This window comes from Homo sapiens, chromosome 10, assembly GCF_000001405.40.
Source record: "Homo sapiens chromosome 10, GRCh38.p14 Primary Assembly".
Taxonomy (NCBI): Eukaryota; Metazoa; Chordata; class Mammalia; order Primates; family Hominidae; genus Homo; species Homo sapiens.
In genome coordinates, this window is record NC_000010.11 from 50,568,922 (window position 1) to 50,595,224 (window position 26,303).

The 26,303-nt window shown below is 39.4% G+C and overlaps 1 protein-coding gene and 1 pseudogene across 8 annotated transcripts in view; both read right to left on the minus strand.

Moving 5' to 3' along the window:
• Positions 1 to 26,303, minus strand: part of SGMS1 (sphingomyelin synthase 1) — a 319,585-nt gene that overhangs the window by 263,322 nt on the left and 29,960 nt on the right. For 7 of the 8 annotated variants that reach the window (XR_007061953.1, XM_047424974.1, NM_147156.4 and 4 more), the window contains exon 2: positions 21,232 to 21,326. The gene's annotated coding sequence lies outside the window, so the exon portion shown is untranslated. Of the gene's footprint in view, positions 1 to 10,782; positions 10,986 to 21,231; positions 21,327 to 26,303 lie in introns of those variants that run through there. The other variant, XM_047424976.1, reaches the window with a different exon arrangement.
• On the minus strand, positions 21,731 to 21,791 carry RNU7-107P (RNA, U7 small nuclear 107 pseudogene; annotated as a pseudogene).

Below are 26,303 nucleotides of genomic sequence, written 5' to 3' on the forward strand. Positions count from 1 at the left end.
GATAAAGAAAATGTGGCACATATACACCATGGAATACTATGCAGCCATAAAAAAGGGTGAGTTCATGTCCTTTGTAGGGACATGGATGAAGCTGGAAACCATAATTCTCAGCAAACTAACACAGGAACAGAAAACCAAACACCGCATATTCTCACTCATTCATAAGTGGGAATTGAACAATGAGAACACATGGTCACAGGGAGGGGAACATCACACACTGGGGCCTGTCGGGGGGTGGGAGCCTAGGGGAGGGATAGCATTAGGAGAAATACCTAACGTAGATAACAGGTTGATGGGTGCAGCAAACCACCATGGCACGTGTATACCTGTGTAACAAACCTGCACATTCTGCACATGTATCCCAGAACTTAAAGTATTAAAAAAAAAAAAAAAAAAGAGTGGTTTAGACGTTCACTTTTTTGGAAAGGATGAAAAGTAAGGATGCCAGGGAATGGAGGAACCTGACATAGCAGAAAGAAGACTGGTTTTAGAGTTGGTAGAAAGTTCTTTCTATCCTTCCTGTATAAACCAGTTGTTAGGTTCTCTGGGTTAGGTAGGGACTCTGCAGTTTCTTCCTTCAAAAATCTCTCCCATGGAAATGGTGCTCCACTGGCCTAGCTCAGCATGAGTAGGAGGTAGCAAACAGCTTTACTGGTCATTTGTCTGCTTTGGTTTAGTGCACTGTGGGGTAGATTTCTTATCAGAAAACAGGTATGTCATCTCTAGAAAGAAGAAAAAACATGGTAGCTCAATTTCCCCCAAACAAATAATTTTTAAAAATTTTTAAAGAAAAACAAAGTTTTTTCTACCAGGGAAGCAATAGCATGTGGTCATTAAAATCATGGACCTCAGAACTGAGGTCAGTGCTGATTCAGCCACTCCTATGCAAGCTGGATGGTAGCTTCCCCTCCTAAAGTCTTCATGTCCCCTCCAAAGAAGCTGGGGTGATCCCTCCCTTAGGAGGCTAGTGTAAGCCTGTAACAAGACCCCAAGACTGCATCTGGCACCTAGCAGGCCACGGTGACAATAATTGTGGTTAATCTTCTCCCTTGCTCTTTTTCAAGGCCGCCTGCTGACCTTCTAGGAATTTATGGTTACATTTCTTAAAACCATTTTACATTAACAAAGCACTGCTAACTGTGGACCCTCCAAGGAAAAGATGTCATGAAAACTAATGGAAAGCTTTTCTAGGTTTCCCAGCTTCTTATTCCCCGAGCAAAATGCTGGAAAAATAGAAGGTATTAGCCTCATAGTCTTTACTAATTGAACCAGCCTTCCTTACTTGCAGAAAAAGCCACACGACAAGCATCTCAACGTCTTGGTCTCTCAATACCAAAGGTACTAAAGGATGAGGGCTCAATTATGCAAACATCACTGTGCTTAACAGAAACCCTCTTCCAGTAAATCCATTATTAATCCTCAGGTCAATCCTTACAATGTTAATGATTCAGAGGAAATGGGCATTCCTTGTAGACTTCAACTATTATGACATTTTAAAAAATAATCTTGAGAAAAATCAACATAATCTGGACCTTATGAGTATAGCTAGTGCCACTGCATTACATGTGAAATTCTTTTTAAAAATAAGAATAAAGACCCAATGAGTGAAATGAGAGACAGGCCCAATCAAGGTCTATGAGCCACTGGTCTGTACTCATGGTGCCCTATTAAGGTCCTAATAACATAGTATTGAGGGCCTTTTGATTCTCTGCTATTTAAAAAAAGGGTAGAGCCACGCAAAGTGGCTCACACTTAACAATCTGAGCACTTTTGGAGCCCAAGGCAGGAGAATTGCTTAAGCCCAGGACTTTGAGACCAGCCTAAGCAACATAAAGATCCTATTTCTACAAAAACTTTTTAAAAAACATTAGCCAGGCATGGTGGCATGTGCCTGTAATCCCAGCTACTCAGGAGGCTGAGGTGGGGGGATCACTTGAGCTCAGGCAGTCAAGGCTACAGAGAGCTATGATCACACCACTGCACTCCAGCCCGGTCATCAGACAACAGAGAGACCCTGTCTTTAAAAAATAAAATAATACATTTTTAAATAAAATAAATTAAAATTTATTAAATGGTAAAAGAAACTGATTCTACCCATGATCCTTCTGGATAAGCTAACTGCCAAGACAGTCTTTGCCTCTGGCAAGAATTTTACCAAGTCCAACTGCAAACACTTGTTATCCCTTGCTGACCAAAGTTCTAATCAAATTACTAGCAAGAAATAGAATAACCAATAGCTGCCTAATAAATTTTTTTATAAACAAATACTTTTTCCTTTAGTGTCCATGAAGGAAAAGCAAACTTAAATAAGTAAAAAGATTAAGAAAATATATCTACATGAGGCTACTTTGCTATTGCCCAGGCAGCTCACATTCCCTCCCCTAGAAATGTCATGAACAGACCAATATCAATTTCAATAGTTAAGACTTTAAAGGAATGCAATGGTCATTAAGAAAAGACAAAGGCTGAAGACTCAGAAGGATATTAACTAAGGAAAGCAAATTGGAATCGGGATACAATTTAAGCAAAGCCTGGCACCTTTTCCATTTCCTGCAGTGAGTCCTGCTGTATCTGGGAGGTTGGCACACGGAGAGTGGCACCACATAGTGTCCAGCACATCACAATATTTGAGTATACTTACAGAATAATATAGTAATATATAATAGAATGATAATAACATCTGCTGTGTATTTAACGCATACTATGTGTCAGGCATGTACTAAAGCACTAGACATATCTAATGTGCATATATATACACATATATATGACAGATATAAAAATCTGTATATTTATGTGGGTATAAAACCAATATTTATATATAGAAATCTTATGAATGTGTAAATACACACATAAGTATATGCACACATACATATAATCTCATTTAATCCTTAAAATCACTCCGAGGCAAATGGCATCCTCATTTTGCAGGTAAGAAAAATAGGAGTTTAGAAGGTTAAGTAACTTTGATACGGTCACAGTCACAGCAATTGCACCTAGATCTGTCCCATCTGTTTCAGAACCTGGGCTCTTACACATCACCAAAGAAGGTTCTAATGACAACTGAAGACCAACAAAGGAAAATGAGAGAGAATCTACCACCATGTATCTTGTAACAGTTCTGACAACAAGGTCAGCCACCTATCTCTTTAGCTAGGAAGAGAATTGCATCAGGTATTCTCTGGCCCCTGACCACACTGTGTTGTGTAAGTCCAGGACCCAGGACAAAGGCCACCTCCTGCAGGGTTGTGTCCCTTCTTCTAGGCAAAATGAAGCAACTTCTGAAACTACCTGGAATTAGCTTTGTAACCAAGGATACTAGAGTACTGTAGAATACAAGGTAACCCAAACACCACAGGTTTTCCAGATAATTGAGTAATCAGAGTCTATGCGCCCTCCTTTTGTGAGGGAAGGGTGGTAACGAGGTAAATCTCCACCTGCTGCTTGTTCTCTAACATTCTCATCCATTTGCCAACACCTAAAAAATTCACAATTCCTTGCCTGTGAAATGACAGAATTCACTGTTTCAAATGTGCTCTGCAGTGTTGTCAAGGTCTCTTCAGTTGTTATGGGAGGGGAGGTAGGAGATGGGTTGGGGGAAGAAGGGAGAGAGAGAGGAGAGGGGTGATGGGAGGGACCCTTCCACCCCAGCAGCTACACAATCATCTGTTTTGTACACTGAGTTTTTGCATAAGAATGTATTTGAAGAACAGTTTTCATTTCTAAAACTATGACTCTATGCCTTTGCCAAAATAAATAGAAAACACTGTACTGCAAAGATGCTTAGGTTGCTTGATTTTTTAAAAACCAAATACACATAAATTGTGAGTGCCTATCAGTTAGAAAAAGATCCTTTTTGTATTTATATAGTAATGAAATAAATTATAGGACCTGTCTCATCTCCACCATTTAAAACAGAACACAAATCAGCGTTTTCAACACCAAGAGAGAACCCTCCAGAAGACCTAGCACCCCTAGACTAGCTTTCCTCTCAGAACTTTCTGTCCCTATTATCACTGTTGCACCAGGGTAAACATTCTATGTACCTTGAAAGTTTGGCCCAAATCACATGATCATCTCAATAGCTGCAGAAAAAGCATCTAACAAAATTCAACAGGATGTTTTAAATTTCACCATAAAAACTGTCAAATTAAGTATAACTTACCCCAACAAAATAAGGGTCATACATGAAAAGCCCATAGCTAACATCATACTCAATGGAGAAAAACTGAAAGCTTTTCCTCTAAGATCTGGAATACACAAGAATGCCCCACACTCACTACTTCTATTCAATATGGTACGAGACGTCCCAGCCAGAGCAATGAGGCAAGAAAAGATATAAAAGGTATCCAATGTAAAACTATCTGTTTGCATATAACATAATCTTATATGTAGAAAACCCTAAAGATCCTACCAAAAAACTGTTAGAATAAATGAATTCAATACAAAAACAATGAGTTGTGTTTCTGTACACCAACAAAACAATCCAAAAAGGAAACTAAGAACAACTCATTTACAGTAGCACCAAATAGAATAAAATACTTAGAAATAAACCTAACCTGGGAGGTAACATACTTGTACACAAAACTATAAAACTTTGCTCATAAATGTAAAGATTTCGTGTATTCATGGATAGGAAGAATTAATATTGCTAAAATGTCTATACTACCCAAAGCAATTTACAGTTTCAATGCAATCCTGATCAAATTCCCAAAGAAAATTTTTTACAGGAATAGAAAGACAAAAATCCTAAAATTTGTATGAAACCACAAAAGGCCCCAAATAGTCAAAAGAATTTTAAGCAAGAAAAACAAAGAACAAAGCTGGAAATATCACACTTCCTGATCTCAAAATATATTATGAAGCTACAGTAATGAAAACATTATGGTACTGGCATAAAGATAAACATACAGATCAATAGAACAGAATAAACAATGCAGAAATAAACCCATGTACATATAGCCAATTGATCTTCAAGAAAGGTGCCAAGAACACACAATGGGGCAAGGATAGTCTCTTCAATAAAGGGTTCTGGGAAAGCTGGATATCTATATCCAAAAGAATGGAATTGAACCATGTCTTACATCATATACAAAAATTTACTCAAAATGGATTAAGGATTTGTACATAAGATCTGAAACTATACAATTCTTAGAAGAAAACACAGGGGGGAAGCTTCTTGATATTAGATTTGGCAATGATTCCTTGGATATAACACCAAAAGCACAGGTAAGAAAAGCAAAAATAGATATGGTATACAGCAAAGAAAAGAATCAACGGAGTGAAAAGGCAACCTATGGAATGGGGGAAATATTTGCAAACCTTATATCTGAAAAAAGATTAACATCTATTACATATAAAGAACTCCAAAAACTCAATAGCAATAAAAACAAATAACCCAATTTAAAAATGAGCATTGAACAGACATATCTCCAAAGAAGACATCCAAGTAGCCAAGAGGTTTATGACCAAATGCTCAACATCACTAATCATCAGGGAAATGCAAATCAAAACCACAATGAGATATCACCTCACACCTGTGAGAATGGCTATTATTTAAAAGACAAAAGATAACAAGTGCTAGTAAGGTCAGGGAGAAGTTGGAACCCTTGCACACTACTGGTGGGAATGTAAATTGCAACTGCTATAGAAAGCAAGATAGAAATTTCTCAAAAAGTTAAAAACTACCATATGACCCAGTGATCCCACTTGTGGGTATATATCCAAAAGAACTGAAATCAGGATCTTGAGGAGATACCTGCATGCTCATGTTTATCACAACATTATTCACAACAGCCATGATATGGAAACAATACAGAGGTCCATCAACAGATGAATGGATAAAGAAAAATGTGGTACCGTAGGAAGATGTTGAATGTTTCCAACACAAAGAAATGACAAATGTTTCCGATGATGAATATGCTAATTACCCTGATCTGATCACACCACATCATATGTATTGAAATCTCACTATGTATCCCATAAGTACATGTAATTATTATATGTCAATTAAAAGAATAAACATTTTAAAAGGAAAATGTGGTGTATATATATATATATATATATAAAACAAAGTATTACTCAGCCTTAAAAAAGAGGAAAATTCAACCATGTGAAACAACATAGACGTGGAAGACGTTATGTTAAGTGAAATAAGTCAGTCACAGAAGGACAAATACTACATGATTACCAGGGAACGGGGGTGGATATGGGCAGCTGTTGTTCTATAGATATGAAGTTACATACAAAACAAAATGAGTAAGTTCCATACATAGTACAACATAGTGTACAATATAGTGCCTATAGTTAACAATAAGACATTATGCACTTAAAAATTTAAGAAGGTATATCTGGGCCAGGCACAGTGGCTCACGCCTACAATTCCAACGCTTTATAAGGCTATGGTGGGTGGATCACATGAGGCCAGGAGTTCGAGACCAGCCTAGGCAGCCTAGCAAGACCCCATCTCTATAAAATAAAAAAATTAGCCAGGCATGGTGGTGCACACCTGTAGTTACTTGGGAAGCTGAGGCAGGAGGATCCCTTGACCCCAGGAGTTCCAGGCTGCAGTGAGCTATGATGGTGCCACTGCATTCCAACCTGGGCGACAGTGAGATGCTGTTTCAAAAATAAATAAACTTTAAAAAGAGGGTATATCTCACATTAAGTGTTCTTACCCCCGTCACCCTCCTCCCCCCACACACAAAGGACACAGGAAACTTTTGGAGGTGATAGATATGTTTATTATCTCGACTGTGGTGGTGGTAATACAATACAAGTGTATACATATGTCCAAACTCATCAAATTGTATACATTAATTATGTGAAGGTTTTTGTATACAAATTATATCTCAATAAGGCTAGGGAAAAAACAAAAGCAAGAAAGCTATGGCCCAAGCATAAATACATTTCCAATACCTTCTGAAAGGCTTTTTAAGTTCCACAGAAAATCAAAACAGAAATAAAGGAAAGAAGTATAACTGTTCATGTTAACACATGTTTCTGATCTTCCCAGAGCTGTTTTACTCCCAGAGCCCTAGCCCCATTCACATCCTGCCTGAGCTATGTCCACTACAGCACCAACCTCAGCGGCATCTGCCTTGCCTCTTCCTTTCCCTCTGGCATCACTTCCCATGTTAGAGAGAGTGGAACCTACAGACACTTTCCCAGCAAAAGTCAAGCAGGAGATGGGAACCACACCAACCACCTAACACTGTATTACTCGGCCCCAGCTTCTGATCCATGAGGTACCCACTGAGAAGACAGGTAATGGATGTGCTGAGGCAGCTCACCCTGCAGGTGAGACCCAACTTCTTTAAACACAATGGCCAGTTCATCCTCATTATAGACCCAACAGTAAATCTCTCAGAGAATGTCATAACTGTGACCTCCACACAGGCATCATATACTGAGGTCTCTTGTGAAAAGCCAGCAACCTCTGAAGCCCCTGATCGAGTACACTCATCTCAGAGTCACCCTTGTCCCCACTTTCCTCCCAGCAGCCACCACAGCTGCCACTGGAGGAGCACGCCCCTTTTGGCAGAATAGCCAAATTCCATAAATGCCACCCTTTCTTCTCATCCCCCTCCAAAAGCAGGGGGAGTCCCATAATAGATAGAATATTTCATTCATGCTCTGTCTGAAGAACAATTTTTCCCATAGAAAAGCTGGGCACGTGAATTCTCAACCAGATGAGGGGCCTATTCATAACAATCTCAAATGACTAATGACAAAGCTGTTGTCTGTCTCATAATAGCTCACAAATTTTTTGAATCAGAAAATCATCTATGTCATAAGTGCAACCCTTATTTCCGGAGAGCACTTTTGATGTCACCCATTGCACCACATGTATATACATAAGCTTCTGCCAATAGAAGTGTGTTAAAGAATCCAAATTATAATTACCACATGCTAAGTGCCAACACCATGGTGGCAAAAGAAAAGAATGTGAAACAATGGTTGTCCTATGGGCAAATAATCTAAATCCACTTGGAAACTGTAAGTATTTGGCTCTTCCTTGGCTCTTTTATCCTGTCATCTATAAATACTGCATAGAGCTGGGACTTAAAGCCCTGGGAGTGAACTAGTTCTAGGCAAGATCAGAAACTGGTAGTATCTACAAAGAACAGTGATAGTTTTCCTTTTCATAAAAAAGGTTTAGTTTCTTTGGCTGGCCCTCAGAATTCAGAGGAGTCTTTTGGAAGACTCAGGCTGCTTCCGTTAAGCTAGGGGTAACTTGCTTGGGCTGGAGCTTTAAAAGTGCACTTGTGGCAGAGGCAACAACTGTGATGATCAACGGGGATGACACAGCTCAGGAAAACCCAATCTGGGTGATGGTCAGTTAATTTGTCATCTTCTGCATGGTTCCCTCTTAGCAATAAAAACCCTTGTCTATGTCTTTAATGGACATAGCTCCTACAGTTCATTTCACTACCATATACATTAGGAACAAGAAGACAGATTTGGAGAGCATGAAGAAGACATAAAAAAAGTATAGAGAAAGGCAGGAGTAGCTAATTAAACAACAACAACAACAAAAGGTCCCTTTCCTAACGTGCAAGAATTCGTAATTTATTCATATTTAGTCCTTTTAAGAAACCCAACAAACAACCAGGCATCTCTGCAGTACTGTCCTTCCTCTTAATTTTAATGCAACCTCAAAATAATATAAAAAATTACCCCTAGATTGTTTGTGGCTTTAATAACAAGAGAGAAAGGAACTTTCTATATTTAGGAAACCTCTGAATCTGATTTCCTCAAAGGTTCATAGAGTAATAACAGGCCAACGCTTTTAAGTGGAAAGCAATTTCTCTGTTTTGCACACAGCCCTGCACATGCAAGGGGAAGTATCTTGGGCAAGCTTCCATAGCAATCAGCATGAAAGCAGAGAGGCTTTCCTTTCCTTTCCTTTCCCAGTGGTGAAGTTACAGCTATTAAAGGGCTGCTACTGCACAGAGCTGCGAAGCTTGTGAAGGGGACTTCTGTTATCTAATCAGCGCCAGGGCCAGAAATGACCATGTTGGTTACTACACAATGACTAAGTGTTCCAGTAAGCTAGAAGGAAGGACTGGTATTTGACAGAGGATACATGTAACGTTCAGAAAAGACAAGAAGCAACTGAGCTTATCACCTCAAGGAGCAGATCATGAAATAATCCAAGGTCAGTTAGCCTATAGTAAAAGAACCACTCTGCTCTTCTAAAACTGCTTAATTTTTGCAGAGACCTGCTATCAGAAAGGCTAACAATAGCTTTTTACCTGTTCTCTGATGGTCTGAGCTTGAATGCTTTGTGGAAGCATTTATGAGGGATCAAAACCACAAATACAGCCCCGCTCCCTTTGCGGTATTTATGTCCAGTCTCTTTAGCCTGCGGGAATGCCCTTTGTGGGTGGTCAAGGACAAATGGCATTAAAACCTATTAATTCAGCTTTTCATGTAAGAAGACTTAATGTGTCAGCTGCATTTTAATCTAAGGATTATATGCTTACCCTTGGAAAATTCTTTCAGGAACATCAATAAGGATTTTTTTCTACAATTTTTATTTTTTATCACAAGGCCCAATTATCATTTATAAATTTATTGGTATTTTAACACCTGAAATAAAAGCTCTTAGCTAAGAAAAAGAGGCAGCTGCTGCACAGTTAACAAGAAAGCCAAGATCTCTGCTGAGACCATCTAAATATATACCATGCTTTAAAAAATAATAGAACACCAAGCTAATGCTCACCACCGCAGGTATGTGTTTGAACAAATACCAATGCTGCAAATTCTGACCTGGATTTTTTTTTTAAGACTTCTATATTGATTTCCAGTTAAAGACAGTGGATGAACACACATATTCAGCTTCTCTCCCTCCTAAAACCCCAACACCACAAAATTATTTCTTTTTAAATGCATAAATCTACAAGGACAAAGATAATAGGACAAAGATTAAAATGTTAAGCTTTTTAAAGCTGGAAATCTGATAGATGACAGCAACTAACTTAGGCCCAATAAGCCAAATCTTCCAGTTTGTAAAGCCCCATTCTTAATCATGAATGGACATTCAAAGATCATAAAGAAAATATCTAACATGAAAGACAGAAACAGAGGAAAAAAGCAACTTGAAGGAAATAAAAACTATGCAAAAAAAGCTTAAAAAGTTATCATTAACCTCCTCAGAGAACTAAAGGAAAATGCTGTCATGAAATAGTAGGATTCTATACAATAAAAGCAATCAGAGAATAAAAAAACTGTCAAAAAATTTTAAAAAAACATTATAACAAACATGAAAAATTGAATAGAAGGGTTAGAAGGTAAACGTAGGAAATATCCTAAGAATACAGCTAAAAAGCAGATGCGGAAAGCAGAAGAAAAGGTAAGGCTGTCATAAGACAGTAAGTCAATATCTAACAGAATTCCAGAAAGAACAGAGAGAACAGAGAAAACAGAGGGGGGAATTCAACAATGATACACTTCAAGAAAATTTCTAAAAATGAAGGATGCAAGTTTCCAAGAAATGAAAATAGACCCCACCAAGGAATATTATGAAATTTCAGAACACTGAAAATAAAGAAAAGAATGAAAAACCCGAGAGAAAAAAGTAAGAAAAATGAAGTCACCTACAAAGGACTGGGAGACAGTCTTAGCCTTCTCACAATCAACACTAGATACTAAAAGATAATGAGCAATGCCTTCACCATTCTGAAGCTCAGTGATTTCTAATCTAGAATTCTATCCCCAGCCACACTGTAAATTAAACGTGAATGTGACAGTCTCAGATATATAACAACACAAAAGTCTTACCTCCCATATGAAATTTTCTAGGACACTTCCAGAAAATGTGCTCCTCCCAAATACGGGAGTAAACCAAGAAAGAAGAGAATATGCAATGAGGGAAACTGGGAATCCAATACATAGGCAAGATATAAGAAATGCCCAGAAAGGTGTTAAAGAGAGGATCCCAAGATGTGGTACACAGCAGGCCTAGAGAGCAAGTAGTCTGGACTGGAGCAAAGCGTAAGACTCCAGGTAAGATTTCTCCGAGATGTAATTGATAAGATAGCTGATATGGCTTAAAATATTAAGAGGAAATTTACATAGAAGGCTGTTTATGGTTAAAGTAGTGGTAAGTGCATAGAAAAACTTTAAAAGACACAATTACTAAATCCAAGGAAAACACAATTTGTGTGTGTGCAGAAAATTTAAAGTAATCAAACTATACTATATTACCCAGCACATTTGTGAATCCTGTTTACACACTGTAAACACCAGATAAGAAATGGGGGAGGAGGAAGAGAAACAAGCATAACAGGCATAACAGGAACTTAAGTCCACAAGAGGCCTTGTGGAACTATGGAATCCTTTAAAAAATCAAAGGTGTATGACTGCAATAAAAACAAAACCTACAATTTAAAAAGAGACGATGATTACAATCTATACCTAATATTTATTATACCATCTGACAACTTACAAATTACTTTCACAAGTGTCTAATGATTTAACATTTACCACAGCAAGTTAGGGACCCCCCCCCAAACCCCTCAACCCTCACTTATAGAGACAAGGGAATCACCTCGGGGAAATTAAGTAACTTGATCAAAGTGACAGAACATCAAGGTGGCAGACACAGGACTAGAAAGAGCGGGGCATGCACAGGAGTGTGGGATTTACAATATGGTTGATATTAATGACGTGAGTGGGCAACTATAGGGAGAGAGCCAAATTGAGTTTTGGAGTTCAGTGGCTCTCACACTTGAGCATGCCTAAGAATCACTTGGAGTTCCACCTAGACAAAGTATGCGAAGTAGTCAAGTTCATGAAAACAAAAAGTAGAATGGTTCCTACCAGGGGTTACAGGAGGGAGAGAAGGGGAGTTGTTTAATGGGTTTTCATGGGTATGAAGTTTCAGATTTGCAAGGTGAAAAAGTTCTGGAGATCTGTTGCACAACAATGTGAACGTGCTTAACACGAGTCAACCATACACTTAAAAACAGTAAAGAAGGCAAATTTTATGTTGTGTGTTTTTACTACAATATGTTTTATAAAAAAGAATCACCTGGAAGACTTGTTAAAACACTGATCACCACACCCCACCCCCAGAGTTTCAATTCAGTAGGTCTGGGTGAGGCCTGAGAATTTCCTCTTCTAACAAGTTACCTGATACTGCCATCCCAGGGACCAAATTTTAAGAACTATTGCTCTAGTTCAAAAATATTCTCAGTTTTGAATGCACAGCAACCTCCAATGAGACCCCAGACCAAGTAAATAAGTATGTAAGGAGCGGGGAGTTATGGAACTGCACATTCAGTGCTTTTAAAATCCCTCAGGGTGATTCTAATGTGCAGCCAGTGGTAGAGACCCTGGACTGGACACTGGCCACACCAGTCGGCAGTACAGCGTCTGTGATGCTAAGAGCAGACTTGTGCCACTCAGCCATATCCTGAGGCTGCAGGTTATGCCTCAATTTCCTCATCTAGAGAATAATGATCACAGAGTTGTGGAGAATATGAAATAGGATAACCAACAAAATAACTCAGAGTGGTGCCTATCACATAATGAATAATAATGTTGTTGCTTTTGTTGCTGACATTACAGGAAATAAGGTTGACCTTGTTTTCTCAGATGTAAAATGGGGTCAGGTTAAAGGCAACGAAGGAACTATTAATATTCAATCCCTGACTATGCAGCAAGGCAAAAGACTCCTAAGGAGCTAAGAACAAAATAAATGGGATTACATCTAAGAACCTATTATAATTCCCACAAATATTTGGCAAACTTAGGGTCATTTTTCTAGAATAAGTAGCTAATCCCTTTACTCTCTGAATAGGTGTTGTTCTTTGGAATAAAAACACCATTGTAAAGCCAGGTGTGGGGATCAATACTCAGACACCACATCCTCCATCTAAAGAAACAACAAAAACAATGTGATGTGTCCAGACAGAAGTAATGCAGGACTCACAGGTGAAGTTCTTGAAGACATCTACATGGTAAACAATTTCTTGTCAAAAGAAATTGAGAAAAAGACAAAGCCATGATCCATTTATGAAATATCTGAGACTCCCACATCCTAGGCACAGTGGCCGTCTGCAAGGAAACAGCAACCGCAGGGCAGAGCCTGTCCTGCAGTGAAGAAGCGGCTCTGGCCCTCCAGCAAGCTTTGTGAATGCTGAATGGCAAGCACTATTTTTCCTCAAAAGCACGGCAGAGAGCACCAAAATTGTGTTTTCTGCTAAGTTTTTCCTTGCTTTCATAGCTGCATAGCTTGGGAGCGTATCAGAGATTACTTACAAATACTTTAAGCTTCCAATGTCCTGAGTCCACAGTAAATAATACAAAGAAATCACTATTGTCCTCAGAGAACAGCAAGACCCTCCCTAGATGTCTGGGCCATACCAACATCTGAGTCTCGAGAAAAAAATCTCCTTCATTAAGTCATTTGGATAATTTCCCCACAAAACATTCTCAACAACTGTGGGAAAATATTCCTAATGAGGAAAATGGCATCTATTTGCAGACAGAACTGGCTGGCGGTCGTGAGAGCAGCACTCTGCAGTGGTCCAAACCTCTCAGAGTCAGCAATTCTGTCCTCACACCACACTGAAGGGTTCAAGTCACCTCCTGACCATAAAAAGCTTTGTCTCCTCTGAAACTCAGAATACTGGATCTGATTAAACCATCAGCAAACATTTCCCAAGCAAGTGCCCACCCTGGATATGGCTGATTGTCCCAAGCATGTGCCCGGCAGGATGGAAAAATTTCTTCTTAGGAATGTTCCCTTAAATGTTTCTGGGGGCACCGTTCATGTGGGAAGCTAAAGACCAACGTTCAAGTGGAATATACAGAAACACTGCCTTTCTTGTACCACACAGGTACTTTAATCCAGGCCTACTTTCTAGTGCTTTTTCCCTCTCTGCTTCCTTGATTTATTACTAACCCAAATGCCCCACAATCATAACACAGAGGCAAGTGTGGGGACAGGGAAGAAGTCAGGTCCAAACCAGTGTTGACCCTTACAGGTCATGTGAGTCTGAACTTCCTTATCTGTCAAATGAAGAGGACACTTGCTCCCCTGCCAGCAGGACAGCTTTAAAGGTTGACAGTAATAACCAGGGATAGAGAGGCTAGCGTGCATGAGGCACTATTCTAAGTGCCCTGCAAATGTCCATTAATTCGATCCTTCTCAGAACTCTTTTAGGTAAATACCTTTATCCCCATTGCACATTTGAGAAAACTGAGATACAAAGAGGTTAAGTAATTGGTCAAAAGCTCATGCAAGCTAATAACTGAACCTAGTCTAGCCCCAGAATCCATGTTTTTAATCACTTCTTTATCCTGCCTCCCCAATATCTCCTAAAGGTCAAACAAGAATACATCTGAAAATGCTTTTCAAACCATTAAAAGATACATTAATAATAATCATTATAATAATTAGTGTACCTCCCAGCACCCCCAATCCTCTTGGTAACTGCCCTGATTCACCCTTGGAGGGAACCATTCCCAGCTATCATCAGTTCATGCTTCACCTTCTGCAGAAGATGTGCTGACCTCAGGCCCTGGAGTGAAGCACATGATCTGGCTATCCAATAGGAATAGGCCAATATACCTGGCCACAGCCACTGGTCCAGCATGAGGCACATGACTCATCATGACCAGGAAGTTTGTTTGTAACTAAGCAAACCTGAAGCTGCTAGAAGTCTCCATTCAGAGCCCAAAAACATGTAGCCAAGATGAATCCTCATGACATCATTTTGATCCTTAGTCTAGCCCCTCCTGAAGGCAGATCCAGTCCTTAGATTTGCAATTACTTAAGGCCATAGACTTTTTCACTTGAGACAGTTTGAAATGAGTTTTCTGTCACTTGCAACCAAGGCACTCTGTTCTATCAACTAAATTTACCTATACTTTCAGTACTTTCCCCTCTCTAAAAATAAAACTTGAAGACTATTCAAGTGAATTTTAATTGGCTAGTCTTGACAAAGCAACACTTCTGAGGCTGGACTTCCTGACAAGATAACTCCACATTATGTAGAACAGACTTCATTTTTCCAATGCCACAGAACAAGGAATCTGGCCTATCAAAAAATTTGTTTCAGAAAATTTCATTTTTAATCAAAAGAACTAAGCCTACAGTTTCCAACTTTGTAAGAAAACAACTATGATATTTATTTTCTCAGCCTTCTCAATTCTTGTTTTTCCTCTAAACAACTATCCATATAGAATCACTAAAAAGAATATGACTGAATTCTTTAAAACATTTTAAACACAAAAAGTAGAAGACATGAATGGCTATAGATCATTTCTTCCTCCTAAAGAAGATTGGCTGGGCGCAGTGGCTCACACCTGTAATCCCAGCACTTTGGGAGGCCAATGGGGGAGGATCACGAGGTCAGGAGTTCAAGACCAGCCTGGCCAACATAGTGAAACGCTGTCTCTACTAAAAATACAAAAAATTAGCCAGGCATGGTGGCGGGTGCCTGTAATTCCAGCTACTTGGGAGGCTGAAGCAGGAGAATCACTTGAACCCGGGAGGCAGAGGTTGTAGTAAGCGGAGATCGTGCCACTGCACTCCAGCCTGGGTGACAGTGCGAGACTCCATCTCAAAAAAAAAAAAAAAAAAAAAAGATCAACTACACCTTAACTTTATTAATTTTGGCAACAAAACAAACCAGTTTGGAGTTTTCATCACATTCATTAAGCTATTTATTGTACCAGTTCACATTCCTTCCCTGTGGTTTCTTCAGAAGCCTAAGATTTCAGAGGAAAGCACTATGGGTCACCCAGATCACTGCCTCAAAAGGTGACAAATAGCATCCCATTTGATGTCTGATGGCTCCCAAATCCATGTGTAAGTATGACCAGGGCTTCCTGCATTTTCACATCTTTGAATTACTGCACATAGCTAAATAACTGCAACTATAACATCCAAACAAATTCCCACTTCCTGAAAGACCTCTCAGGCTGAAAGAAGGCAATGATGCAGACATCATGGCTGAAGATGGTTCACTGATATGGTTTGACTTGCTTCCTTTACATTGGTCTGAGGACAGTGTAGGGGTGGTGAATGGGCAGTCACTCACAGCCCCAGTGTCCACCCATAATATATATACAAGCACATATGAAAATGCTACACAGGTGTAAAAGATGTTAAAAACAAGTTTCAAATTCCTTAATGTAAAAAAATACTTCTATATTTTCTATTAAGAAGAAACAAACTTTTATGACTTTGATAAGCAAATAGATAAGCACACAAACAGAGATAGATTAATTTGTTATGCTGCATTCCAAACTTTATTATCCAAACTCTATTATCTTGGTTGGCTGTTGTTTCTATTGAGGTTTATTATTAAAGTAGCACAAGACTGACCATATGCTTGGCTTGCTTTAGTAAGCACTTCAAAACTCATCCCTTCTCCAGACATGGCTACCTTCAAACAGTCTGGCATTACCACATGTAAACAATTAGGACATTTAAAACTACAGTAATTGTGCAAACATCACATTACATACTCCTCATTACGGAAGCAAAAAATCAAATTATGTAGGGTAAGTGTTTATCAAGTTTATAAAATTAATAAAGATAGCTGACATAATAGTTTTAAATTGAGGATTTTTAGTTCCACTTCCATATTATACTTTTTATTCTAAAAGCAGCTATGCTGAGAATAAGCCCCATGTGGTTGGTGCACACGGAAATGCGCTACCTGCATAACTAGAAGAGCTGACAGGGGATGCCCCTACACCACGATGTCATATTTTTGATTTATAGAAAGCACAATCATGGAATGGAATTTCAAATTCATAGGAGACTCTTTTACTATACTTGATCTTAGCCAAAAGGCCAAGAAGTGATAGAGGAGCTTCTTTTAAACTCCTCAAGACCAAGAACCATATCTGATTTTCACCATTTTATGCCTGAAATACAATAGACACTCTGTAAATACGTGTTGGATGAATACATGAATGAGAACATTAACACTAAATTTAATGGGCTCAGATTACTACATGACTACAGAGGTTATGATTACTATGTCCTTGCTTTTATGAAGTAAAGCAGGAGCTGGCAAACTTTTTTGTAAAGGGCTAGATGGTAAATATTTTAGGCTTTGTAGGCCATATGGTCACTGTTGCAACTACTCAACCCTGGTCTCTTTTGCAACTATTCAACTCTGCAGTTATAGCAAAATATGTAAACAAATGAGCATGACTTTTTGAATAAAACTTTATGTATAAAAACAGAATTTTTCCATAAAAACACCCAAATCCTCTGAGGAACACTTTCTTATTATATAATGATGACTCTACTCTCTAAAGTTTGGAAAATGGTGGACTTGCTAAATTGAGCTGGACAGAGTTTGTTGGGTTGATATTTGGGCAGAGGATATACACTCACTCTCCACCATGCCCATCAATCCTTATGAGCAACCCCATTCATTTCAGTCACGTTACCAGCCTGGCCCATGTAAGCCTCTGAATTTACATCCCTGAACTCTACAGAACAACTGGCTTCCGGGGATGTGGCCCACTGCCATACCTGTGAATTGATAACTATACTACAGGCTCCTCAAGGGCAAGCCCAAACGTTCAACTCTTTGCCCCTCACCTAACACTTAATATCAACACCTAATGAACTTTAAATATTCATCAATTGCCTGTTGTTTGACATGTTCTGCACAGTCTCCTTGGAGGGGCTGTAGAGAAAGTAATAATGGCAGAGAAGAGGACGTAGAAAACATGTGCCAGTAGGGAACGACGTGAGAAGGGACATGGTGAGTCACAGGAAGAGCAGCAGGAATCAGCACAGGACTGATGAAACCACACCCAATTCTCCCAAGTGTGTCTCAATCTTCTCGCTGCTGTCTAGATTCCTCCCTCATATCACAGCAGAAGCTGAGCACAACCTGGTACTATTTCCACTATAACCATGATGAGGAGAAAACCTTGTTTAATTCTCATTTCCTCTGGAGGGTGCCCCAGATGGGTAAACCCAAACAATTACCCACATCTAGTAAAATAAATAAATTGTTATATTCTCCCACAATGGAATGCTCTAAAGAAATGAAAATGAGCAATCAATAACTAAACTATATGCAATAATATGCAGGAATCTAATATGTTGTTGAATGAGAGAAGCCAGACACAAAAGAGTACAATCTGCATTATATATTACACACACACACAAAGAAAAGACAAATGCAGAACTAATTTATGCTCCTAGAAGTCAAGAGAGTAGTCATCCATGGAGCAAGGGTACAGTTGACCCTTGAACAACACTGGTTTGAACTGTAAGGGGCCACTTAAAGGCAGATTTTTTTCAATAAACACATTGGAAAATTTTTTTGGAGATTTGCAACACTTTGAAAAAGCTCACAGATAAACCAAATAGCCTACAAATAGCAGAAAAAAAAATTAAGGAAATATGAGGTATGCTGTGAATGCATAAAATATATGTCATTGGCCGGGCGTGGCAGCTCACGCCTATAATTCCACCACTTTGGGAGGCCAAGGCGGGTGGATCACGAGGTCAGGAGTTCGAGACCAGCCTGGCCAATATGGTGAAACCGTGTCTCTACTAAAAATACAAAAATTAGCCTGGCATGGTGGCACGCACCTGTAATCCCAGCTACTCGGGAGGAAGAATCGCTTGAACCCAGAAGGCGGAGGTTGCAGTGAGCCGAGATCGTGCCACTGCACTCCAGCCTGGGCAACAGAGCAAGACTGCATCTCAAAATATATATGTGTGTGTGTGTGTGTGTGTGTGTGTGTGTGTGTGTGTGTGTGTGTCGTTATGTAGTAAGTCAGTAAGGCTTCCAGTCAACAGTAGGCTATTACTAGTTACATTTTCAGGGAGACAAAATTATACTTGGATTTTCAACTGCACCCCTAATCCCCAAATTATTTAAGAGTCAACTGTAGTGTCTAAAAGGAAGCATGAGATTGTGTTAGTCATGCTCTGTTTCTTAATCTGGGTGCTGGTTACATGGATGTGTTCAATCTGTGAAGTTATATTGAGCTATACACTTATAATATGTCTATTTTCCATATGTATCTTCTACTTCAGTAGAAAGTTTTTTAAAATCACCATATCTCAGTGGTCTAGGACTAGACAGGACCCCATATGTCTTCCCTTCATTCATCCTTCAAAACCCCCTTTGCCTCACGTGGAGTCCCACTCACTCCTCCTCATCTTTTCAAAGCATAACCATACAGAGGCCAAAGAATAAAAAAGCAAAACTCAATCATTCTGAGCTACCCGTGATTCCAGACACAACTCCTTCTGAATGCCAGTATCTTTTGAAGAACCTTTACTGCTATCACTGACCTTTTGTTCTAAATCAGAAATGAGAGTATAAGAAGCCACTGCTGCCCTAAATGGCTCACTTAAATAGACTTTCTTTAAAATATGCTCTAAATAGGCAACCTTATAGACACAAATGTCTGTAAAACAATGCTTAGATACACAGGGACGACTTGAGGAAGATACCGTAAATAAATAGTAACTGAGATTGGAAAGCAGAACAGTCGACAGCCATCTTGCAAGAACCACAGATAACTGATGGTGTAATTGGCTATAATGTGTAAAGATCTACAACTGTAATCATAGCTGAACATGTCTTTGAGATTTTAAGTAAAGTTTCAATGTAGGTAGTCAAATTATGAGGCTGGGAATCATTTTTAATCTCTCTAATGCTGATTTTAATACATTAACCTATATAACATCAACTTCACAGTACCAGTCATATTCTTTCCACATTCTCCTATAAGTTTAGGTTTAAAAAATCAGCTAAGACCTTTGATCACATCAGAGCACAGAGACTGATCTAATTTTTTTTTTTTTTTTTTTTTTTTTTGAGACAGGGTCCCACTCTGTCACTTAGACTGGAGTGCAGAGGCGTGATCTCGGCTCACCGCAACCTCTGCCTCCCAGGCTCAAGTGATTCTCCTGCCTCAGCCTCCCGAGTAGCTGGGATTACTGGCACATGTCACTACCGCTCAGCTAACTTTTGTATTTTTAGTAGAGACAGGGTTTCACTATGTTGGCCAGGCAGGTCTTAAACTCCTGACTTCAAATGATCCACCTGCCTCGGCCTCCCAAAGTGCTGGGATTACAGGCATGAGCCACCAGGCCCAGCCCTGGTCTATTTGTGAATCTTGATCAGGGAGAAGGTGAGGCTGGTGATCAGATCCACTGACCTAACCATGAAACATCAGCCATGGCGGGGATGGGTAGATTACAGGAAGAAAGCACAGTAATTTCTCTCTTGGGGTATATGTACAGTACAAGTTCCATGCCTTTATATTCAGATTTTTCTCATATCAAATTCATATTACTTATCTGTTCATTAAAGAAATCACTCTCTCTCTCTCCGTGTGTGTGAGAGAGATAGACTGGGACTCACTGTCGCCCAGCCTGGAGTACAGTGGCATAATCATAGCTTACTACACCCTCCAACTCCTGGGCTCAAGCGATCCTCCCACCTCAACCTCCCAAGTAGCTAGGACTACAGGCATGTGCCACCATGACTGGCTAAATTTTTAATTTTTTGTAGACAAGGTCTTGCTATTAAAAATGGTTTTGGGTTTTGTTTTTTGAGACAGGGTCTTGTCTGTCACCCAGGCTGCAGTGCAGTAGCTCCATCACGGCTCACTACAGCCTCGACTTTGTGGGCTCAAGCGATCCTCCCACCTCAGCCTGCTGAATAGCTGGGACCACAGGTGTGCACCACCACACCCAGCTAATTTTTTTTGTATTTTTTCTAGAGATGGGTCTCACCTTGTTGCCTAGGCTGATTTTGAAATCCTGGGCTCAAGCGATCCATTCCCCTCAGCCTCCCAAAGTGCCGGGATTACAGGTGTAAGCCAGCACGCCTGGCCTAAAAATGTTTTTAATCTGACTTTATTTCTATCAACAGTGAAGGGAGCATAACTCAGTTACACACTTCAGTACAAAACTATAAATTTAATTAAATGGTTCTGTGCCACGTAGTTCTAAAAGGTCTTTCAGGGAAGAATATCCTTATTTGTAAGAGCTGCATCCCAAGAATTTAGGAAAAAATGTCATAATATCTGCAACTTCTACATGTTTCAGCTAAAAAATGTACAAACCTATACACACACCAAAAAATGTGGCAAAATGCTAATAACTGTTAAAGCTAAGGTGTAGATAGGCAGGAACTCATTGCACGTTCTCTTAACTCTCTTCAGTATGGTTGAAAATGTTTTACAATAAAAAGCTGCATAGAAATATTTACTTACCTTTCAAATGATGGCTGTCTTCTTTCTCCTGATCAAAAATGAATGACTAAATATGCCCACGGGCCCATTCAGGGATCGTACATGCTGTCGTCACGCTGCAAGAATAAGCAAAGCAACATGCGTGTTATCACCAAGAATTTTTACTCTTAATACTATTTCAGTTGAGAACGTGTTCTTAATATATGATAAGCCTCTAAATTTAAATACTGCTACAACTTTTTAATAGGGGAAAAAGTAAAAAAAGAAAAAATAATCCCATCACATATTGAATGTAGGGAACAACTATCAGCCCCACCCACTCTAGGAAATTTTGGAATAAAGGAATTCCTCTGTAAGTTTCTTTTTTTTTCCCTCCAACTTTATTGAAGTATGATTGACAAATAAAAATTACATATATTTAAAGTGTACAAGGTGATGGTTTTATATATGTATACATTGTGAAATGATTGCCACAAACTACTTAACATATCTATCACCTCATACAATTCCCTTTTTTTTGAGGAGTTTTCTGGTAAAAACAAGAAAACTTGCTAGATAAATTCTAAAAGAGCCTTACAGTGTAGTTACCATTTGTGTGTGTGTGGTGAGAACACATAAGGTCTACTGTCTTAGCAAATTCAAATATACATTATTATTCCCTATAGTCACCATGCATTAGGTCTTCATCTTATAGCTGAAGGTTTGCCTCAGTTCCTGTCGAATCACAGCAATTTCAGGGCAGTGATGTAGCCCAAACATCCACTCTAACAAAAACTGGAGCTTCAATGACTTGAGATTTACTCTGACCTTGGATTTCTGAGACCACACTTAGAAGGCATCCACGTACCCACCTAGAACCACACAGGAATTGCTGAACCTCCTCAAATCCTTTCCAGCAAAGGTATTCAGATCCAATCTACAGTATACTCAACTACAATACACACAAGTTTGCGGCAAAGTGGTATCATGGCCTGAAAGTCATACTCCTGTTGCCATGACGATACCTTCTGTTTTGGCATTACCCATCACATTTGATCACAGCCCTGTGAGGTAAGCAGGGTTTATGGATCCCATTTTCCAGAGAAGGCAGCTAAGCGTCAGAGATGATATCTGACAAGGATATTCAACTAGAAAGCACCAGAGATTAAACTCCTATTTGTCTTCTGACCCCAAGCCCTGGGCTTGTCTCACTATACAGATCACCTCCACCCTCCTGCTCCCGAACATGATGCCTTCCTTAAAACCAACCCCACAGCCAAATGGCCAAACAACACATCACACCAGGGAGGCAGCCGGGCACTGCAGTGTGCTCCCTGAAAGCATATATTCACAATCTTTCTTAATAGTACCATTAATACTATAATCATTATTACCAATTACTATAATTACTATTAGTAATTATACTTCTCTTGTAGACACAATAACCCTTAATGTATTTTTGCCATTTATATACATACATGCACTTTATTTTTTCCTTCTTCCTCAAAAGAGCACACTGTTCACTAACAGAAGGAAAACAAGCATCACACTGCATCGCTGGCGATTTGTAACCTCTCCATAATGAAAGGCAGTTATATTTGCTGTTGAGGATTTTCCTTTCATTTTTATAAAACGCAAAATACACTAGAATATAATGCCACAGACACAGCTCCGCAAATAAAGATGGAAGCAGCATCAAAACTACAGTTGGGGAGAACGTGACATCTCTGCATGATGGCCCTACTTGGCGCTTCATCTGCTAATCACCAGAATTCTGTAGACACAGAGAGTTAGCAGTATCAATGACTAACACGCGAAGTACTGGTGTACAAAAGCCTAAAGAAAGCCAGTCTGGAACCCCGTGCACCTGGCTCTCAGGCCTATCTCCTCCACTTTTTAGCTTCATTAAAAATGGAGAGAACCTCTTCCGGCTGCTTCCTCACCTGAGGGCTGCAACACCTGCTCACAAGGATGTTGGGATCCACAAAGGGGAGATGGTGCGACTCACTGCCTCACAACCCAGAACACTTAGACCCCCAGGAATACTCACTAAGAAGTTATGCCAAGAGCCAAACAAAGCTAAAGAAAAATAAACATGACATAGCTTCCAGAAACATCAGTGTTACTCAAAGATTTTGGTGAGGGAAGGTTAAGTAAATGAATCAATAATTTAAAAGTTGTTAACATTAAAACAAGTATAAATTATGGATTAGAATGTAATCGTTGCATAGATTTTTAAGCTAAGGCCCCTGTCCTTGCTTGCCTAGGTCATTTTTGGCCATGCTCTTAGATGTGGGGGTGAGTAGCAAGGGGTGGACCCTTCTCTCCTTTTTCATTAAAGATGGTCTTGGGAAAAAGTATGGGGCTGAAACAGATTTTAATATCACAATGGCCCTTCATGTGGAGAATTCTCTTCAAAATCAAGAGTCTCAGATTGTTGCCAGATCTAGGTACACGTAGAATGAAGTCCAGGCACGTATCATCCCATCTCCCACCACAGATCCCGGCGCAAGTATTACTGAAGTTCCTTTCCTCATGGCCTTTCCCGCCCACTCCCCTGCCTCAGGTACGTTCTTGTCAGGCAAGCTCAGGCCACTCAAATACTCAGCTACATCACTGACATTTCTTTAAACCCATACTAATTGGTAACACATTCAGTATCTATAAAACTTTTCATTTAAATGGATGGCTGCACTATTACTAAAGAAAAATGAGCTCGCCAATTTAGTTTGTCTCTAAAAAAATGTTTACTGTGAAATATACTATATTTAAAAGTGCGTTTAACTGTGGTAGCCAGCCTCCAAGATGGCCCGTGGTGATATCCGCCTCCCAGTATTCATGCGCTTGTATAGTCCCGTCCCACTTGGAACAGGGCTGGCATGTGGGAACCACTACAATATTGCTGAAATGCTGGCGTGAGACTGCAAAAGTCCAAAGACTCCACCTTCCATCTCTGTTTTCGGAGGGAAGCTGGCTGTTCTGATATGAGGACACGCTCAAGAAGCTCTGCAGAGATACACGTGGGAAAGAACTGAGGCCTCTTGCCAAGAACCAGCAAGGAACTGAGGCCTCCTGGCAACAGCTATGTGAGTGAGCCATCTTGGAACCAGATCCTTCAGCCTCAGTCAAGCCTTCAAATAGATGGCAGCAGCTTCAGTTGACATCTTGACTGCAACCTCATGAGAGACTGCGAGTCAGAACCACCCTGCTTAGCTGCTCCCAAATTCCTGGCCTACTCATGGAATCTAAGTGAGATGACAAATGTGTATTATCGTTTTAAGGTGCTAAGTCTTGAGGTTTGTTATGCAGTGATAAGTAACCTATCAACATATATAGGTGTAAAGAATAATAAAATAAATCTCATGTACCTAATACCAGTGTTTAAATTTTTTTTTCTTTTTTTGGAAGCCGTGTGTGTGTGTCTTTCCTGATTGCATGTCTCCCAATCATCCTTCACCACCACTTCCACCACCAAGATTCACCACTAGCCTGAATTTTGAGTCAATCATTCCTTGGCTCCTCTTTATGGTTTTGCCACATATGTGCTATCAATATGTTGTTGTGATTTGCTGATTCTAAGCCTACTATGAATGAAACAATACGGTATGTGCTCTTCTAGACTTGCCTCTTAAGATTTTGAGATTCATCCCTGTTGACTCATGTGGCTTTAGTTCATTCATTTTGTCACCACGATACAGTTCTCATTGTGTGAACATACCCACAATTTACTGTTCTGTTCTACTGTTGGGGACCCTCTGGGGATTTTGCAATTTTCTGCTACTTTGAATAATGCTGCCATTTACATTCTACTGTGTGTCCTCTGGTACACACAGGCAAGAATTTCTCCAGGGTATATACCTAGGAGAGGAGAGCTGGACTACGGATTGCACGTGTTCAACTCCTCTAATGCCAAATTGTTTTCCAAAGTGGTTGTGTACAATTGACTCTTTAGCCGCCTTTCCAGTTTCTCTCCAAATAAGAGGCATGCTTGTTTTGCCAATTACCAGGAAAGCTTTCAACCAACAAAAGGGAAAGCTTTTCCTATTTGCAGCATCACTACTACAAATAAATAGTACTCCAAAGCAGTGACCTAGACAGCTGGAACATATTAGTCACACGACATCAGTACAGACTTCAGAATAATGATGCAAACCCAGCCAACACCACACACTGCCCATGGGTATAAGTCAAATTTGATTTCTAGACATACAGTAAATTCAGAGGCTGTTTTCTTCCTGGTAGATTCACATACTATGGGCCCACCTGACTGGTATCTTCTTGAAGGAGAAAAAGAGTAATTCACATGCAACCCAGCCAAATTCAAGATTAAAACAGGAGAATCAAATAATTTCTGTGAAATAATGGAATATCTATGTGTGTTTTTTTAAACAGGCAGTTGGTTAGGTTTTTTAATATTTTTACCTATAAAATTGTTATTTATTACACTTGATTTTATTTATAGTAATTCTACAAAAAATTCTCAATTATTTTCTCTATAAAAAGCTGTCCTTTATAGGTTTAGTTAATCCAGTTTCTTAGATGAAAATAGTAATTTTTACAATTTAATCTGCATTTCTAGGAAAAATGTGATAGCAAATGTTTTTATCAGCATGAAATACAAATAATGAGAAATTATCTCAATTTGAGTAGGAAGGAAAGAAGAAATGTTATCATAAATTTAAAAGAGACTCATATGTCATGGGAAGAAACAATGGCAGTAGATAATCAAAATAAGTTCATTTCAACTCAACCTCCTGACAGTTCTCGTCTTTTTAAAATCATTTATCCCGACAAGGTAGAAACTGTTTATTCCCATCTTGTAGATGGAAGAAACTGAGGTACAGGAAGGAATTCAGTTATGCAGTCACACAGCTGATAAGTGGTAGAACAAGGATTTAAACCCAAGCAGTTTACTCCAGAGCCCATATTCTTAACCACCACTCTGGACAGCTTCTTCAGTCCCCCAAGACAAGTCAGAAGGCCCTGCAATGGTGATGATAGTAGCTACCAGTTAATAAGCATCTACAATGTCCTAAGCACTTATTAAGCACTCTACTGCATACTGCATTCTTTTTTTTTTTTTGAGATGGAGTCCCGCTCTGTTGCCCAGGCTG